Source organism: Homo sapiens, chromosome X (assembly GCF_000001405.40).
Source record: "Homo sapiens chromosome X, GRCh38.p14 Primary Assembly".
Classification (NCBI taxonomy): Eukaryota; Metazoa; Chordata; class Mammalia; order Primates; family Hominidae; genus Homo; species Homo sapiens.
In genome coordinates, this window is record NC_000023.11 from 11,454,915 (window position 1) to 11,476,056 (window position 21,142).

General features: G+C 39.5%; 1 protein-coding gene across 3 annotated transcripts in view, besides 2 other annotated features; it reads right to left on the reverse strand.

Annotated features, from left to right (window-relative positions):
* ARHGAP6 (Rho GTPase activating protein 6) overlaps positions 1 to 21,142 on the reverse strand; it is a 528,377-nt gene that overhangs the window by 317,371 nt on the left and 189,864 nt on the right. The window lies entirely within an intron of this gene.
* Positions 7,297 to 7,441: an enhancer, noted in NCBI's record as "145 bp enhancer 58 fragment used in the MPRA reporter construct; PK_construct_3552". NCBI's record gives its function as "activates an SV40 promoter by MPRA in HepG2 cells {active_cell/tissue: HepG2}" and the evidence as "EXISTENCE:reporter gene assay evidence [ECO:0000049][PMID:23512712]".
* Positions 7,364 to 7,374: a transcriptional cis regulatory region, noted in NCBI's record as "NFE2L2 motif; enhancer activity is reduced when this motif is scrambled". NCBI's record gives its function as "necessary for full MPRA enhancer 58 activity {active_cell/tissue: HepG2}" and the evidence as "EXISTENCE:site-directed mutagenesis evidence [ECO:0005528][PMID:23512712]".

A 21,142-nucleotide genomic window follows, 5' to 3' on the forward strand; every position in this document is an offset into this window, starting at 1 on the left:
ACTACCTGGGAATAGGAGCTGTTTGGCTTTATAACAAAACATATTTTTTTCAAGCACAACTTGGGGAGATGCCAGATCTTTATTATAAACATGGAAACCAACACTTAATTGCTCTTGAGTTTTCCTAGACTCTATTTCCTTATTATCCAATGGGTAGATTCCAATATATCTACTTGACATTGGAGAGAAAACATATTCTCCAAGGCAGTGGAAGAAATTCCTATATTTACTAAATGGAAATTCCTCTATTTGCTTTCCAGGCCTCTTTTGAAAATAACCACAGGAAGAAATGGGATATACTCTTACTGAATCCAAACTCTAAAGTACTTTTGCAGATTTTGCAGAGTGAAGACAAAAGAAGAAATGGTGACCTTCTTTTTGCAATAATGGTTCTGATGACATAAACATAGACTCTTTGGTGACATCTTTGTCATTCTACAAAGCATTATGAGAGGCAGAATAGTTACTGATACTAGTTCCTACCACTTATGAGGCCACCATTACAACTGCAGTAGCTGGATCTTGCCACAGTTGTGTAATTGCAGCCAAGGACTTCATTACTTCAGTAGCATTGGGACAAAACTGAAATATTTACTTTTATAGACATACCAATAATATTAAACCTTGCAAACGGGAAAAAATAAAAAGGAGTCTGTAAGTCCCTATGGCCAATAAATCAAGACTTAGCCAATTCATGATATTTTGATGTTCACATGGTAAGTGAAATTATTTTCCTCTTTTCCATCTACCCCCACTATCCGTGGCTTCTCTCCAATTGTAGTTTTCATCTCCTTTTCAAGGTGAGTGATTTTAGGAGGCACAGTGTTGGATTGAAATAAGATGACATGAGACTAGATTCTTCTACCTCAATAACTTGGTACCTGGTACCTATGGCAGGTCACTTAAAATCTTTTGATCTATTTTCTCACTTCTATAATGGAGATGATAATACTTGCTCTGGGAAAATCAGATGGCATAATGTATGTGAAAGTGTTTTAAAATTTCTAACCTGTTGTTATAATCTGCAGATGATATAACTTCCTGCATAGATAACTCAAGAGAATCCACAGATAAATTATTAGAATTAACAAGAGTTCAGTAAGGTGGCTGCAATAATTTCAATATACAAAAGCAAAGTGCATTTCTATAAACTTTCAGCCAGCAGTTGTAAACTGTAATATTAAAAACTGTGCCATTTATAATTGCAAAATAATATATAATATACCATACAAAATCAAAATATGCAATATTTTATGTAGAAAATTACACATTTTAACTATCGTAAGCCACTAAAGAAGCCTGAAGTAAAATGAGAGAAATAACATGTTCATGAATATGAAGACAAAATATCAATAATGATGTTAATTCTTCCCCATTTTTTACAGATTTTTTACAATTTCAATCAAAATCCAAACTAATTATTTTCCTTTGAAGTTGCTAAGGAAAGGGTCCAAGTGTCCAAGATTTTCTTCGAGGAAAACAAAAAACAGGTAGAGAGACCTGCCCTGCCCAATGTCATTAAAAGAATGTGACAAGGGTGAAAGAACAAAGAAAACTTTGAAATGGGACAGAATTTAGCTACAGATCCAGATCATATTGGTGAAATTGTGATATATGACAGACCTGGCCTCATAGAATAAAGAACTTCAATTACCCAACTTAACCAGTGGCAAGGGGTGGAGGTGGGGCAAGCCCACTGATGCCTCCTTGGGCCCAGCAGAAGACAACCCTTCTCTGCATACCACAGTACGTGAGAGAACTCCTTGAAAATGGAAACAACATGAAACCTCCATTACAAAAGACAATCCTAGCAATTTTCTAATGTGTTCAACATAATTAATTCAGAAAAGAATAATTACAATGTTCACTAATCAGTGAATCTATTCTATTCCAAATATTACAAAATAGAAAACGTGTCTTGCCTTGAAAAAATGAAATATATAGTGAGTATTCAATAGGCAATATACTTCTACACACTCATAGGTTTTGCCCCTAATATTATTTTTATCCTTAAAAGAGGGCTGGTCTACTTAGAGGAACACAATGCTTAGGTCTGAGGCTCAATCAAACATGCAGGACATAACAGAGATTTTGTACTATCCTGTTAATACTGCTATCAATAGAGCGAAGCATAGCATTTGGTAGTCACAGCTGGAACCCTGTGCATATCCCCTAGATCCACCATGGAGGTCCCCAAAAACTGTGATAGGTCTGAAATTTTACTCTACTTTCAAGCGAATGAGTCATTCTGCCAGTTTCATGGATGCTGTTAGAAGACATGAGACACCTGAGTCCAAGATCAAGGACAATATATTATTCACAACAATAGTAATAGCCAGAGCATCACCATTTGCTCCAGTCCCTCCAAGCCCCAGTCCCTACAAGGTGACTTATGGGAGTCAGGTGACACCTGCTCACATAATGGACTGCATTACAGGACATCATCTCTGAGCTTAGAGAACCGAAATCTTTTGTGATGGATGGTAAGTTTGCCTAACCTTTGTCCCTAAGGAAGACATTCTCTTCCTTAGGGACAGAAAACAAACCTGCCCTTCTCTCTAGAGGGAGACATGACCTCTATCCCTCTTGAGACTGTTCACTAAACAAATATTTTTGAAAAGATATTCCAAAAGTGTGAGTGCCTCTGTTCACAAGATGTTAGAAATGCCAGCGACACATGGAGAACTGCCTTTCAATAGAGGTCAGCTGCAGACAGCTCCCCTAAATTCAAACTGCTCCAGGGCGATCTCCGGCAATGGAAGTCTACTAGGTCACCTGCACTGGTCAGGCTGGAAGTGCAGGGGAGGTAAGGGCCCAGAAAAGGTTACAGATGATGGCATAATACCCCTGCATCATCACCCCTCACTGGGACATTTCTGAATTGTGTTCTACACAGGCCCTCAGCTGCATTTAGCCCCACTTTCCCACAGCAGTAACCAACTCATTAACATAGCTTCTATTAGCTTTCCTCCTTTCCTTGTCTTCCTTACTTTCTCACTGTGTTCCTGCAGTTACCTCCCAAATAAACTACCTGAACTCAATTCCTGGTCCCAGGGTCTAGTTCTGGAAAATCCATACCAAGACAGATAGAGCAAAGAAATAAACCCACATCAGTTAGTGTCCATAACTGACATCTTTACTTTGTGATGTGTAGACACAGCCTAAAAAAATGGAAGGGAGTCATACTTTAAAGATCTTTCCTGTATTAAGATGGTCCCTGATTCAGAGTTATATGATGGTCCAAATCTTCATTATTCTGCAGTCTTAGCTGTATTAAAGCAAGATAATCCTAAATTTGATGCAGCTGAACCTCCTGCCATAGATTCAATAGATTTACTGAAGACTTTAGTAAGGCTGCGGGCCAGGGAATGAGCTCATCCTTCAAAAATATGCCTCGGCCTCTTGCCACTCCAGTACTTTCAAAAGCAGCAGGGCAGGAATAAGGAATTGGCTTGGCATAAGCCAGTGGATCCAAAATCCAGTGCATGTAAACACACAAATTGCTTGTGGGTTACTAGAGCTGGGCAACAATGTCTGACTCGTCACATCCACCCTAGGGTTCCTCCAAGCTCCTCCATATGGTATACTACAGCCAAAAAGAGTATGTCTTGGAGTAGCACCAACTAAACTGTGTATATTGTGACAAGCTACATCTCTCCAAGATTTATTTTCTTCATTTATCAAAAGGTAGTGATAATATCTACATCTCATGGTTTTGTTTTAAGAGTTATATGTGATAATATAAATAAAGCTTAGGCCACAGGTTCCAATTTCTTTTATTTAGCATGTATTTCCTGAGCGCTGATCATGTGCTAGGCATTGTTCTAAGAGCCTGGGGTACATCAGCAAACAAAACAGGCAGAGATTTCTGTCCTCATGGAGCTTACATTCTAATAAGGAGAGATAGTAATAAAAAGTAAATATAATATATAAGTAAATTATTTAGGATGTTAATGGTGATAAATTCTAAGGAGAAGTAAAAACTATAGCAGGGTAGGGAAACATCAGGAAAGAGGAGGTGGGATGGGGTGGGGTGAGGAAGCTTGCAGTATTAGATAATGTGGTCAGGGTAGGCTTCAATCAGAGTTTGAGATTAGAGAAAATATTCAAAGAAGAGGAGGGAGTTGGAGTACTTATATCTGGGGGAAGAGTGCTCCAGGAAAAGACATAAATATATTTTAATGAACATTAACTTCTACTAGCCATCTTTATAGTGGCTTTTTAATTGAACTGAACAATATTGACAATAACAATAAAAAACACGGTAAACATTTATTTAGTGCTCATGATGTGCCAAGAACTACTTAGGCTTCTCATCTATCAACTACATCGATTCTCATAGGAATTCTTCGAGATATGACTATCTTTCAGAGAAGCACTATCTTATTTTTTAGATAAAACTGAAGCAGGCAGAAATTAGTAAATTGCTTAAGGTCACACAGCAAGAAAGTAGGGAAAGGAAGATCCAAACAACACATTCTGACTCAAGTATTGAGTGCCAAACCACTGTACCATACTGCCTTTATTTAATTAAAAGGACAGTTAAAGGGGGCTGGAAAGGCTACCTGGTGGGAGTTGGGGTTGTAGAGAAATATCTGGACTATCAAGGGGCATCAGATATATTTTTGGGGTGATGGAAATGTTTAGCTATTGTTTTGTGGTGGTCGTTTCACAACAATTATCAAAATTCATCCATTTGTACACTTGAAATGGATGCAGTTTATTAAACTATTGCTCAATAAAATGAACTTTGAAAAGGGGTTCTGGAAAGATTAGCTTGCATATACTGAAATCACCAGTTTCATTCACCCCAATTACCCTACAGAACATCTGTCTTTAATTACTCAAGTTTCTAATTCATGGGCCAAGTGTGAGTTCTGTATTTTGTCTTAACTCCCTTACTTTTCCTTGAGGTGTGACTTACATGGTCTATTTAATATGTGACCATTCACAGACTTCAGCCCTAGGTTGTGCATTTAATAGTGAGTAGCCAATGAATTAGTGTTAAAAAAAAAGTGTTATAGTTGATCCTTGTTCACTGCTTTTGATAGGCAGAATTAAAAGATGGCCTGCAAGATTCCCATCCCCTGGTATATACACCTGGTATAACCCCTTCCCATGTGAGTGTAGGCAGGACCTGGGAATATGATGGAACAGTCTGCCCCTTGATTAGGTTACCTTCTGTGGCAAAGGTGATGGGATGTTGCTCCTATGATTATATTACAGTGTGTAAGACTCCATAGTAGCCTACAGGAGAGAGATGCTCCTGCTGGCCTTTGAGAAGTAAGTTGCCAGATTGTGAGAGGGCCTGTGAGATGGTCACATGGCAAGGAACTTCAAGGGGACTCTAGGAGCACAGTGCAACCCCTGGCTGACAGCTGGCAAGAAAAGGGTATCTTATTTCTGCAATGGTAAGAAGCTAGATTTTGCCATCAACATGAGCTTGGAAGAGGATCCTGAGCTGAAGATGAGACAGCAGCCCTGGCTGATACGTTCACTTAGGGTCATAGGACCCTTGTATGACCCTGTATGATCCTGAGTGCAGGATCCAGTTAGGTGTTCCTGGCCTCCTGACCCACAGAAACTGTGGGATAATGTATGTGTGCTATTTTAAGCCACTAGGTGGTACTCTCTTATGCAGCCAAAACAATTGAATATACTGCTCCTTAAAAAGATCCAGTCATTCATTTAACATTTATTGAGATCCTGCTGTGTGTACCACTCCAGAATAGCTTCCTCAGGCTGGAATTTTCCACCGTACTTCCCTTGGTTGGACCTAATTATATTTAAGTGCCTCCTCCTGCATTGTTTGTGCAGTTTACCACAGTCCTAGGAGCTAGACTACCTGGGTTCAAATCCCAGTTCTACTGTTTACTAGCTGTGTGACTACAGGTAGATTATTACTTCTGTGTGCCTGTTTCCTCATTTGTAAAGTGAGAATAATAATGGTGTCTACTCCACTCAAATGAGCTTATTTATTAGTCAGGTAAGGTTATGCTGGGGTAACAAATTAACCATGGAGCCTCACTGGCTTAATGCAATGGAAACATATTTTTCAGTGATGCTGTGGGTTTTCGGGGGCTCTACTTCTTGTAGTTACTAATGGACTCCAGCTGAGCGAGGGTCCTCCAAACTGAGATGCCACCATCTTAACAGATTGCTTAGACAGAGCTGGAGGGTCATTTACTTTCTTGGCCAGAAAGTAATACATGCTACTTCCATTCACAGTCCATGCTGCAAAACCAGTCAAGTGATCTCACGTAACTCAAGCTGGTTGGGAAGAGACAAACAAAGAAGGAGCCCACCCTGTGGAAATCTTTTCATATACAGAGAAGAGCCAGTATACAGGCTGTGGGGAAGGAATTACTGACATGTTCACGAAAGAGTAAGAAGCTCAGTGTGACAGTTGTGTGGTGACTAAGGACAAGAGTTATAGAAGAAATCATTGGAGAGATAGGGAGGGGCAAGATCACACAGAGTGAGCAAAAGCAAGAGAGTGAGAGAGACAGAAAGTGCTGTCTGGGTCACCTCTTAGACTCGTAGCCACACAAAGGGGGGAGCTATCTGTGTTTGTCACTTCTATCCCCCAAGTGCCTAACACACTTGCTGGACACTCAGTAGAACCTCAGACACTTTGTTTACTGAATGAATACATGAATGAGGTGGTGGGGTTGACATACTTGTCTCTCTGAATTTCATTCCCCGGGCCTCTCTCCAAGGTACGGACTGCTTCTTGACCATCACAACGAAGCTTTGGAAACATATTTCAGGGATGATGAAGCAAACATTATCTTGTGTACAAGACAGTTCAGCAGAACATTATCAAGGAAACCACATTCCTATCTTGTAGGCTAAGGATGGAGCTGAAAGATGTGACTGGACTTTAGACTTCCTGCAGGCAGCAACTCTTCCCCACTGCAGCCTCTGCTGGCTGAGAAACAGGGGCCTCTCTCAAGAAGAAGCATATCAGATCTGACCAGAGACTGGCCAGAAAGAACACCCTGCAGACTGCCTGAAGCCCAGGGCTAGGAGGGAGGCTGAAGGAGGGACAATAGCATCTCTGGAAGTCAAAATATTTTCTTTTACCCAGCTGCCAACTTGCAGAGAAGGAAATTAAAGCAAGGCTGCTTTCCTAATTTAGAGCGAGGATATTTTCCATATTTTTGTAGAGATATTTTATTTATGAGACACAAAAGGAACCAGGGGATACAGATAGTAAGAGTGTCTACTGGCCTTTTAATGCACGGTAGGCTGCACATTTCCTTCTTGTGCTTTAGAAATAGGTTCAATAAAAGAAAGTCCAACTTGTGAAATCACACACATCTAATTCTCTTTGAGATTTAAGGCCACAAGTTGTGACCTGAGCTGAGTCACAGCTGGGTCGAAGGGAACTGCCTCATCTCTTCTCCACCCACGACAATGCCCTCTCCATCAAAAAATATCTAACTGTGTTTGTCCCAGATTAACAGCAAGCCTTGGGATGATGTGGGAAAGCGACCTTTGCATTGTTTGTACAGTGTAGTAATGGCGTCCTTGTGTTTCCTCCATCCCAACTGTCTGAAAACACTTTCCAAATTTATTTCAGCTGTGGTTAAGGAATAACAGAATAGAAACATAGCAGCGATTTTGTAGTTTAATGACTCAATCAAGAAAGAAAACATTACCATCGTGCTGTGTTTGACAATTCACTCCAAATCGATTAATTTGATTTTTATAATGAGATTTGGGATAACATTCTGATTCTCCAAATCTTAGAAAGCAGCCATTTCATCCCTCAAATCCAATATAAAGGCTTTACCTGCATGGGATTCAAATTTATAATGTTGTGTGGTAAGGATTCTATGATGCATTTGCTTCCAACTTTTAAACTCAAATACCTATGGTGACACCATCAAAGCTAAAAAGTGTGAGCAAAAACTGGACCTCTGCCAGCACTTTGCTAGACTGTCACAGGCGTTTCCACTAACTGCATGGCTGACTGAAATGGCTTTTAAAAGGTAGTGGCGAGACCCTTGAAAGTACTTGAGTGTATTCTTGTATCTCTCCTCTTGCAGTCTGCCCCATGGCTGAGAAATGCAGTCTGTCCCAGCCAGAAATCTGGGTATCCATCTTTTTACTTTATGATTCCTTTTAGGTGTCTCCCATTAGCATTGGTGGATTTCTCTCTTTCTGCATCCAGTACAGAACTGCAGGATCCAAAGATCACCTGAGCAGAGTGGAAGGTGGTGTTGGAGGAGTAGGGAGACCTCACTATACAGTGAAGTTACGTAACGTGCAAATATATCTACCTTGAATTCAACTATGGGTGTTCTGGAAAAGGTGTGGGTGGGGCGTGTGGAGAGGGAGGATGGAGGGAAAAATGGGAGAATGCCTATGAAAAAACATAATTCAACTATTGTGGTTTTCTGTTGTTGTTGTTGTTCTTTCATTTGTTTGTTTGTTGATACAGGGTCTCACTCTGTCACCCAGGCTGGAGTGCAGTGGCACGATCATGGCTCACTGTAGCCTCAAACTTCTGGGCTCAAGTGATCCTCCTGCCTCAGCCTTCCAAGTAGCTGGGACTACAGGCACTAACCACCATACCTGGCTAACTTTTTGATTTTTTGTAGAGATGGGGTCTCATTATCTTACCCAGGCTGGTGTCATGAACTCCTGGACTCAAGAAATCCCTTTGCCTTGGCCTCTCAAAGTGCTGGGATTACAGGTGTGAGCCACTGAACCCAGCCTGTAATTCAAACATTTGATTACATGCTACATTGCACTCATGAGTGTGTCCCCCTGGGAGTGCACATAACTTTGAAAATGTGATTCCATTAAAGTCATCACAACTGCCTGTTCAGTCGGTGTCTGTCTTTGCGTGCTTCCCACAGACAGCACCTCACTAAGCTAAACTATGAACCGCATTTAGTGTTCGAAGTCATACATTCTTTAAATACAACATGGCCTTCAATTATAAGTCAACTGCTTCGTAGTTGGCTGCCAAAGCAACAGCCATCTTAAACCATGAAATGCCCTTCAGAAGAAAGACATGTGCTAGGAAGATGGAGGAGGGAGCTTGAAGAAACCTGGGTCCCAGGTAAATGTGAAGTCACTATTCCAGTCTCATCTAAATCAGAAAATAATAACTTCCTATCTTTTTCAGCTATGGTTACTTTGAGTTTTTGGATAGATGCGGCTAAACCTCATCCTCATCTACACATTGTTTACATGCAAAATGAATTCCACCTTGAGATATAATATAAGAAGCATGCCCTCTTTGTGGCTGAATATAAACCACAGTGGAACTTTCTCCAAAAAAGGAATATTTACAAAGCTATTCCCTTACCTCCAGGTAAGCAGAAATTATTTAATATTTTATTTTAAAAGAAATCACTGCATTCAATACAATGTATCTTGCTGAGCTTTTCTTGATCGGCATTTTAAGCTCATATGATTAATTTTTCTGACTTTCTGAAGCACATAGACATGAAAACTGAAACTAAGTCACAGATAAACAAGGAGTACACACAAGGATGTATCAAAAGGCAAAGAAAAAAGTATCCTAACACTCAAACAAATATTCATAAACTGTAATTACAGGGGAAAAGGCACAGGATGTTCCTGCCTGTTTATAAAGATTAACAAACCTTGGCCAAACCCTTCTTCTTTTCCTTATCTCCAGTAATTGCCAAGCAAGTTCAACTGCAAAGCTAAAGAATGTGCCAATCTCTTCTTTCAAGACTTTATTCCTCTTTGTTTTCACTGCTCATTTTCTTCAATACGTCATCACAAGTTCCTTAGACCTACCTTTAGATAAAATGCTTCTGTTTCCTTAACTATAATGAGCTTCATGTAAGGAGCAACACCAACATTTATGAAAAATTTGTCTTCCATTTCTTCTACCAAGTTAAATACCTGGCCCTAAAGTAATCTGGGTGGCCACCTGGTCTGGCCATGTCATTCTTCAGATGCTACAAAGAGACATAGTAAGTGAGCTGGCTTCCCCATCTATCCACGGCAAAGTCAGAACCGGCTTCCAAGCCTAGAACAATCTTCTGACTGCACCACCTTCATCCCTCACGGTTCATCTGTTATCTTTCAGCTTTCTTAATCTTGTTTGCCAGGTCGCCACGCATCACTCATTACTCACTGATCTTCGGGTCTATGATCCTTATAACTGCCCATGCCATTACATACTTTATAAATCAGATACTCTCACTGTCCCTTCCCTTTTCTACAGAACTTACTTGTCTACCTTTTTATCCCTTTAAATAAAAGAATAATGATACCCAATTATTGAGCCCGTTGTTACTGTGTTAACATGGGCTTTGCGTGCAACTCTAATTTTGCCCTCTCAATACTTGTATGAAGCAAAAACCACAGGAGATAAGGAAACTTAGGCTCAGAGAAGATAAGTAACTTGCTAAAGTTCCCAAGACACTCTCATTTTATGCTTCAACCTTCTCTGTAGAGTAGCACTGTCCAATAGAAATGTGATACAAGCCATATATGTAGTTTAAAATGTTCTGGTAGTCAGATAAAAAATGTAAAAATAAGTAGTTGAAACTGACTTTTTAACTATATATTTCATTTAACCCAAATATCCCAAATCGTATTTCAACATGGAATTGATGTAAATAAATAATTATTAATAAGATATTTTACATTGTTACAGCACATCTCAATTTGGACAGTGGATTTTCATTAGAAATACTTGATCTGGACTTAGACTTCATAAAATATATGATTGCAAGAATAGATTCACATACCCAAGTTGTTCCAAACGTACTTAAAACTTTTCCAAAAACTGAACACAGCATCACTTTTTTAAAAGTTTAAATTTCACTTCATTGCAAATTATATTAAATTAAAATGAATTCATCAGTCACATGAGCCATATGTCAGGTGCTCAAAAGCCACATGGTAGTCAGTGGCTACCACGTTGGATAGCACAGTTCTAAATCTATGAATGCATTCTTCCAGACAAACTCAACTATATTTTCCTACCTGAACTCATGCAGACGAGTATGTCTCCTCCTCCTCCTCCTCTTCCTCCTCCTCCTCTTCCTTCTCCTCCTCCTCTTCCTCTTCCTCCTCCTCCATGAGAACAGTTAACCCTGCCCATCTTCCGAGGCCCAGTTCAGATGTCTTTTCCTACACAGAGACTTTCCTGATCCACTCAAAAGGAAGTAAACTTCTCCTTTGAACTTGCAGAGCACTTTTTCTGGGCCTCTTGAATGTCAATGATCATATTTCTCTTTGTAGAGTACACATTTCCTTTCACTCCTGACTCCTGTACTACCATCTTTGGAAACCCATAAAGGCTTACCTCAAAACAATGTAAAAAGTAGCTCCTAAAAATATTTTGTGCATGAATCACTCAAAATGATTTGTGAGGGAAATATTAAAATGACACAAGTCTAAGCCTTTGAAATAAACTATTTACTCTCCACAAACAAAACCAGAAGAGGACAACTTCGGTAAAAAATTATAACCTCTTTGGTATCCTTATATAGGTTGAGAAAGAATATGAAAAAAAAAAAAACTATTACCACACCTCACTTGTTTTAAATTTTATAATAGATACATTGGTTTCACAAATCCAGGGGCCTTTTTGTTTCTCTCTATAGACACAAAGTCTTGTTCTGTCACCCAGGCTGGAGTGCAGTGGCACAATTATAGCTCATTGTAACCCCAAACTCCTGGACTCAAGCTGTCCTCCCACCTCAGCCTCCTGAGTAGCTGGGACTATGGGCACATACCACCACACCAGGCTAATTTTTTGTTTCTTGTAGAGACGAGGTCTCTCTATGTTGCCCACACTGATCTTGAATCCCTGGCCTCAAGCAATCCTCCTGCCACAACCTCCCCCAGTTCTGATATTACAGGCATGAGCCACCACACCCAAACACAAGGGGCATTTTTAAAGTACATGTCTATATATGTTTCTTACAGTAAGGCAGAATGAATACCCACACCAGCCTTCCACAGAAAACAACTAGGGATGTTGGATAATGTATTTTAAAGCCCTATTTAAAATATGCATGAGTGGACAAAAAAGTAAAGAACACTTATGTCTCAAAATAATCAGGAAGAACATTGCAGCCCTACAGCCAGTGCTTGCCTTGAAGTCATTTGTTGAATGTGGTGAATCTAAATTCTGTTTTCCTGACCTCACAGGATTCAGTGGACAAAATGCGAATTCTAGGCTTGCCCATGGTAACAAGTTGAATGGGACAGTCCTTCCCATAAAGCTGGGACTCAGCCAGGCATGGTGGCTCATGCCTCTAACCCCAACACTTTGGGAGGCCTAGGCGGGAGGATTGCTTGATCCCAGGAGTTCGAGACCAGCCTGGGCAACATGATGAGACCCCATTTCCACGAAATATTTAAAAATTAGCTGGATGTGGTAGCACTCACCACAATCATGGCTCACTGCACTCCAGCCTGGGCAACAGAGCAAGACCCTGTCTCAAAACAAACAAACAAAAAAAAACACTCTGGGTCTCTAAAAAGGATGTATCTTTATGGTAAGGGAGAACAGCCCTCTCTCAACCAAAGGCAGGAAAATTTCCTACCTTAAACTTTGCAAGTGAAAACAACTCTTAACACAAATCACAGTAGAATGGATATATTATGGTATATACATAGAATGAAATGCCACAAAGCAACAAGGAGCAATGGACTACAGATGAATGCAACACTGAGGCTGAAACTCACAAATATAACGATAAGCAAAGAATCAGACACAAAAGGGTACACTGTAGATATCCATTTATATAAAGTACAAAAATGGCCAAAGCTGGTGAGACACAGTGGCTCATGCCTGTAATCCAAGCAATTTGGGAAGCCAAGATGGGTGAATCGCTTGAGCCCAGGAATTTGAGACCAGCCTGGCCAACATGGCAAAACCCCATCTCTACTAAAAATACAAAAATTCGCCAGGCTTGGTAGCATGCACCTGTAGTTCCAGCTACTCAGGAGGCTGAGGCAGGAGAATCACTTGAGCCCGAGAGGCAGAGGTTGCAGTGAGCTAAGATTGTGCCACTGCACTCCAGCCTGGGCAACAGAACAAGACTCTGTCTTAAATGAATGAATGAATAAATAAATAAATAAATAAATAAATAAATAAATAAATAAATAAATGGCCAAAGCTAACTGATGGTGGTAGAGGTCAGAATATTAGCAACCTTTGGAGATGGTGGGTTGGAGATCATGATTGGGCACAAGGGAGGTTTGTAGGATTCCAATGATGTTCTATTTCTTGATCAGGGTGCTAGTTATATGACTGTTATTACTTGGTGCAAATTCATGAAGCTGTACATTTATAATTTGTATACTTTTGTGTGTATACATTTCAATATAATAAGAAATGAAACAAAAATGAAACTCAACGAACAGTTTCAAAGGTAGATTAAGCATAGCTGAATCAGTAACCTGGATGATACATTTGAAGAAATTATGCTGAATGCAGCTCAGCCCCTGCCCCTTCATTTCACAGTAATCTTTCTAAAGCCTTCTGCCTTCTCTCTTTCATCGGCTTTTTCTCTTCCACCTCTGTTCCTTAAATCCTGGTACCTTCTAGTGTTCTAGCCATCACGTCCTTCTTTTCTTAACCACAAATTTTATTTTGAATCTACTCAATAGTTAATGAAAAGTAATATTTTTAAAATGTAAAGAACATTTATCTGAGATGGACATTGTTGGCAAAAATATTAATCAAGTGGTATCTGTTTAGTAGCAGAAGTACTTAAAATATCTGAAATGACTTCTAGAAAACATTTTCTAATCTGTTTTTTGCTTTCCAGTTTGAGAAAATTTCTTCCAACAAAGTCCGAAACACAGAATTGATGCTAAGTGGCAATTTCTAAATGACAAAAAGGGAAAGCCACAAAAATGTAGTTATGTCAAGGTACTATGCAATGAATGTTTGTATCCCTTTGAAGTGGATATATTGAAGGCCTAATACCTAATGTGACAGTATTTGAGGGTGGAACCTTTGAGAAGTAATTAGGTATGAGGGTGGAGCCTTCATGAATGGAATTCATGTCTTATAAAGACACTAATGTAGAAGAAACATGAGAGAGATGATCATGATGATATGAGTGAAGGCAGGCATCTGCAAATCAGGAAGAAGGTCCTTAGTAGACACAGAATCTGCCAGCACCCTGATCTTGGACTTCCCAGCCTCCAGAACTGTGAGAAATAAATGTTTACTGTTCAAACCACCCAGTCTATGGCATTTGCTAGAGCAGCCTGAACTGGCTAAGACACAACAAAAATTAAGTCTTTTAGAATATGATAATGCTTTTTAAGAAACTATGTCAGAATTCTAGGAAGATAATCTGCACATAAATCAGGCCTTTCTTAGAAAACAAATGTGATGATGTTATTAAAAATAAATGATTCAAAGCAATCTTTAAGGCAATTCTATTTCTAATTCTAGAAACTTAATTAGTTACTTTTCTATTTTGCTCTTTGAACTGACGTATTCTGTACTGTTTTAAACAAATTTGATTTTTTAAAAACACAAGTACCATACTATACTCAAATGTGTGCATACCTACATAGATATGTGCATGCATATATGCCCATAGAATGCTGACATAGTCTCCTGAGGAGTCTTTTACTTGAAATCTCTTGCAGACTTCTAACAACTCTAATCCACTAAAATACAGCCCAAAACTATAAGTGACAATTACCTCTTTGCACCCCAGGAACTAAGGTCCAACCTGGGACCTCTTTGCAACCCAGGAACTAAGGTCCAAGGTCCAAGGGTGGGAGGATGTAAAGTATTAGATTTTCACGCTAATTGCACACAATGCCTACATACAAGGAAGGGAATAATAGCAGAAGAAAAGCCTATCCCAATGTCATTCTCATAGGTCACCTGTCCATTTGCTCTCAGTGGGAGTTAATTCCCAGAAACTAGGGGGGCACACTTGTGAGTCAAAAGAGGCAGGAGAGAGAGGTGGGTACATCTGTTCTATCTAATGGGATTCGGTTCCACAGTAGAGCCAGTGCCCATGTTGCATAAACAGGAGGAAGCAGCCTCAGATCCAGGATACCTTTTTTTCACCATGATGAATAGAACATCAGTGCAGAAGGGATGCAGAAGGGAAGATGGGCCTAACTGGAATTATGTAGTACATATGGTGTGTATGTTGTAAGTTGTAGGTATGTTGCTATCTGGCTAGCACAGTTAACCAAATACTGTAAGTGGACATTGTACCCTCAAATTTCAAGATACAATGTTGTTGAACATTGATAAATAAATGATGAAGCTAAACCAATTTCCAGCAATGTATTTCCCAGATACTTTCAAAATGTCAGTTTACCAAGACCTCTCGTATTTCATTTCCTCACAGGTCCTTTTGGTATTTCATCAGAAATGACTGGCTGATGGGTTCCCTTGTGAAAGTGCCCCATTTGGACAAGTTAAATGAGTAAACCTGGTTAAAAAAATATATTCACCAAGAGCCTCTGGGCATAGGTACAGTTTCCAAGAGCCCAAGCATTCTTGGCTACTTGTAAGTATTATTGGAAGGCACTCAAAACAAACACTCCATTTGCCTGATCTTCAGCAAAGAAAATATCAGCCTGTGTGAGCTAATGTGGATGTTATTTTAGAATTAGCTTCACTGCCATTTCAGGGTAGCTAATACTATTGTCCTCAACTCAAAGCCTTTTGAACTTAGATTTAGAAGGCAGGCAAGCTGCAAAGCTTGTGACTTTGAGTGTTCTAGAAAAACTCAAATATGAGTAGATTTAGCTTGGTCGTGCAGGACACTTTCCCTTAACTTACTGAGGTATTTGTATCATGGAAGAAGTTGAAAGATTACTTTCAACTGTAGGAACAGCAGGGGTAGCTTCACAGGCATGAAACCAGGCAGTGGCTCAGGGCTTCACAGTACAAAGGGCTCTGTGCTGAGTTAAATGCTCTGCTGCTGCCATCTTGAAATTCTTAATATTTCTTGAACAAGGGGCTCTGCATTCTCATTTTGAACTGGGCCTTGCAAACCTGGAAACAGCAATGTGGCTTTACTTCTACCTCCTTCCTAGACAACTTTCCTTCTTGTTTGCATATACAGGTTTCTCTATTCATATTAAATATAAAATGTATCTTTTAGTAGCTGAGTCTCTGAAAGGTTTGGCCCACCACAAGGATAAAAAACAGGATGAGAGAACAGTAAAGTAAAATGATAACATTAGAAGAAATGGAAACTGGGTACAGGGTATACAGGAATTATCTGTACAATCTTTGCAACTTTTCTGTAAATCTAAAATTATTCTAAAATATAAAGACCAGCTCATCATCAATTTAAAAAGAATGTAGTAATTATAAAGAGACAATTGTAAAATAACCAGAAACAACAACAGTAACAAAAGCCTTTCACACTTGAAAGTTAAAAATAAAAAAGAAACAACAGTATTCTTCTTAAAAAATCACTTGATCAAAGAAAATTAAAAATGGAAATTGTAAACTTGGAAATATATTACTATTATTTTCATAACCATTAAAGGATTTAATTAGAATTGTTTAAATATAGCAAAAAATATGTTTAAAACTCAACAGTCTACTTTTGGACCACAACAATAGGAAAAATGAAAATCCCTTTATTCAGAAATGTGCATTAACGATATGTGCATGTGTTTGTGTATGTGAATAAATTATAAAATTTTGCTAAATGATACTAAAGAAGACTGAAGTAAATGAATCATATCCTATTGCTGGATGGAAATAATTAATTTCATAAAAATATCAGACTTGTCTAAAGTAATACATTTTTAAAATTCTTTCTGTAATCTGAAAAAGATAATGAAAAATCTCTGTACCCCTGGGGGATGCAGGGAATCATCCTTGGGGGAAGGACAATGTAATAGTCTGATCCTGAGACCCAGGGATACAGGGCCTACCTCAAACTGAGGCTGAACCAGGTCAGCAATGGCTTAATTCACTTAAAAACATGTCCCCAGGCTCAAAAAGCTAGGAAAGGACAGATCCAGGGCTTGAGACCATTCATTCAGTCATTAACGCATTCATTAATCCATCAATTATTTTTTGATCACCAACTCTGACCAGGGCATTGTTCTGGGGGAGAGACAGAGCAACGAACAAGACACATACCAGTTTGCTTTCCTGCTTTCTTGGGATATACATTCAAAAGGGTTAAGCACAGATTTGAGAATACAAAAGCAACAAATAAATAGGTTTCTCCACCTTGGCACTACTGACACTGGGGGAAGAATGATTCCCTGTTGTGAGGGTGGTTCTGTGCATTGTAGGATGTTAGCAGCATCCCTGGTCTCCACCCACTAGATGCCGGTAGCACCCTCCACCCCAGTTGTAAGAACAAAAAAATCTCCAGATCGCCAAATTTGCCCTGGGGAGACAAAATCCCTCCATGTTAAGAACCACTGACATAAATGAATTCAATAATTTCACATAGTGGTAAGCAATATGAAGAAAATAAAATTGGATGATGGACAGAGATGGAGAGGCACCACTTTAGACTGGAGGGTCACAGAAGGTTGTTTCAAGGGGAGAAGGCCAAGAATCAGGCATTGACATATGAGGGCAGAGAGTTCTAGGCAGTGGGAACAGCGGGTGAAAAGTTCCTGAGGTGGTAAGGAGCTTGGTGTGTTAAAGGAACATAAAGAAAACAGAGTGACTGAGGTGTGATGACACAGAATGCGTGAGCAGGGGCCAGATCATACAGCAACTTAGGGTTTATGCTTGAAAAGATGATTCAGTTGCTCTTTGGAGAACAATTTGAGGTAGCCTGAATAGAAGGGGAAATTGGTAGTCTAGGAGAAAGACTGTGGGAGCAGAAATAGGGTTTTAGTGAAGGAAATGGGAGTCACTGAACAGATCTGTCACATGGTGATGTGGAGGTAAGAGGCCTTGCTAATAGACTGGACATGGACAACAAGTTCCCCTTCTCCTTTAGGTGTCTGCCAAGATGGGTCCCATTGTCTATATTCTGCTGGAGATCCACCCCTGCCTCCAACTAGGCCAGATGTGCTGCATTCCTGTTTGGGCTCAATCTCTAATTCTTGGCCCCACTCTGTACCCTCATCTTCTAATAGGTCACCCCTGACCGCTGCCCTAGTCAGCTCCATGGCCAGAAACCTCATCTTCCCTTAGCCTCCCTACCATTTTCTCACATCCGGTTTCCCTCCAAACATTGCCAGCACTTGAAGTCTCTCGGGAGCTAAAGCTGAACATTCTGTTTCTATGATTATAGAAACCCAAGAATTATCTTCATCATGAATTCCAGAGAAGAGCCTAGGGGGTTTCTCAGAGTCATCTTATGAACAAAAGACATGGTACATACAGGGGTCAAAAATGCAAGAAAGAGGAATGTACAGTACAACATAGTAACCCCAAAAGGGATATTTAAACAGTGATTGAAATCACGGGTTGAATTGTGTCTCCCAAAAAGATATGGTCAAGTCCTAACCCCATGTTACCTGTGTATGTGACCTTATTTAGAAATGGGATCTTCGCAGATGTAATTAGTTAAGATGGTCACATTGGATTCGGGAGGGCCCTAAATTTGTAAGGGTGTCCTTACAGAAAAAGGAGGGGACACATACAGACACAAGCACACACAGGAAAGAAGTCCATGTGACAATGGAGGCAGAGACTGGAGTCATGTAACTGCATGTTAAGGAACATCAAGGATTGCCAGGAGCCACTGGAAACTAGGAAGAGGCAAGGAAGGAATCTCCCCTAGCACCTTCACAGGGATCATGGCACTGCTGACACTTTGATTTTGGACTTCTGGCCTCCAGAACTGACAGAGAGAATACATTTCTCTTGTTTTAAAACACCCAGTTTGTAGTCATTTGTTTTGGCAGCCCTAGGAAACTAACACAATGCACATTTAGACAGTTTGGGCCAAAAAAAGTACATTTTAAGTACATGTGAATTTCCTGTTGAAAAGCTATAGCACAGAATATTTGAATGATGAAGGTTAATCAGATGAAGAACTCCAGCAGCTTGACCTTCTGAATTCAGTTGATATTGAACACATATGCCCTGTTAAAGCTGCCTTCTCAACACTCCTTTTGGCTGCTCAACTGCTCCACTAGACCCAAGCTCCTGGGGTCCAGGCTCTAATGCTGGGTTCTTTGCAAAGTGAAATTCAATATGTACCCTCTGGGCCCTGAAGCCTGAGTACCATGCCTGAGGGAGCCTCAGTAAAGGTTGATTGAGCCTTTGCATGTTCTGATTACCCTTTCCCACAAGCTGTAAACTTGACAAGCACACACTACTCCAAAGAGACCTGGACAGTCTTCTAAAGGTGTCACCCTCACACCACACCACAGCTGAGTCAGCAAAATTCCAGGGAGTACACAACAGTTTCATCCCCAAGTCTGTCTACAGCGTTATCTATTGGTGCTTCTTTGGGTCCACATACCACCTTTTCTAGATCTAATCAATGCTTCTTGTTTACATCCACCTCCATATCCAGCTAATGAAAATTTAAATGGATGTATAAATCTCACCAAATTATAAGTGGACCAAGGCATTGTAACTCAGAAGATGGAATGCTAGACAGCAAGAGAAATGTTTTGGATGGTGGCACTTCTCTGGCATGCTTTCAACTCTTTGGCAGGGGACAAGAAGCCCTTTTTCTTAGTCATACAGAAGAATAAAAATATGCAATCAAAGGGACAAATTAAAATTATAAAGCAGTGAACAAATGGCAATAATAATTTGCCTTTCATTTTAAAGTGTGGCATTCTATGGCATGGCTATGGTTTGGATACAGTTTGTTTGCCCTCACTAAATCTCATGTTGATCTCTGATCCTCAGTGTGGTGGTGTTGGGAGGTGGGGCTTAGTGGGAAATGTTTGAGTCATAGGGGCAGATCCCTCATGAAGGACTTGGTGCCATTTTTGCAGTAGTGAGTTCTAGCTCTTGTGAAATGGAATTAGTTCTCAAGGGAATGAATTATTTTTCCCAAAAATGAGTTGTTATAAATCCAGGATACTCCTGGGTTTGGTCCCTCTTTGCATGTGCCCACTTCCCTTTTGACCTTTTCTGCCATGTTTTGACACAGCACAGAAGCCCATACCACAAGCCAAGCAGATGCCAGTACCATAGTACTTTTATAGCCTGAAGAACCATAATCTAAATAAATCTCTTTTCTTTGTAAATTACATAGCATCACATATTCCTTTATCACAACACAAAACAGACAAAGACAGGCATTCAATATTCTGCAGTATTATCTTCAGTGGTTTAACAGTATTCCATAATAGCGCTATATGATCATTTAATCAATCCACTATTATAGACTGTTTCCATTCTTCTTGTGCCCTATTTTTAAAAAATACTGTGATAACACATCCTTGAAGCTAAATTTTAGCACACACCCAGGGTTATTTCTACAGGATAAATGTCTTGATATGAACCTATAGAGTTTCAGGAATTAACATCTTTAAGGCTTTTGGTTCCTACAGCTTTTGATTCTTATTACTGAATTTTTTCCTACCCATGCCAAAAAAGTTGTATGCATTTGCACCTCCAGCAGCATATCTTGAGTGTTTCTTTCCCAATCCAATTACCAGCATTATATATTATACAATTTTCATCTTTGCCAAAGTTACCCATAAAAATGGTAAAAAGCATTTGAGTGTAATATTAAAGAAACTACACACACACACACACACACACACACACACACACACAAACACACACACACAGAGCTTTCAAGAAAATAATCATTGATCTAAAAACTTAAAAGCTTCCAGACAAAAACACAGGAGAATATCTTTTCGACTTTGAGGTAGGAAAACATTTCCTAGAATATAAAATTTGATACACTTCATCAAATTAAAAACAAAAACAACTCTTGCTCATGAAAAGACATCATTGCTGAAGTAAAAAAAAAAAAAGCACCACAGACTAGGAGAAATTTTTAAAAACACATGTCTAATGAAGGACTTGTATTTAGATTTTTAAAATTCCTACAAATAATGCAAATAAACAAAACAATAGGAATGGGAAAAAAGACGTGATCGAGAAATTCTCAAAATACTCAAACTGTCAATAAATATGAAAAGGTGCTCAGCAAGGAGATGCATATTAAAGCCACAGAGAGATTGAATAAGATATCTGAGACAGTGTTACAAGGCAATCAAAAGATAT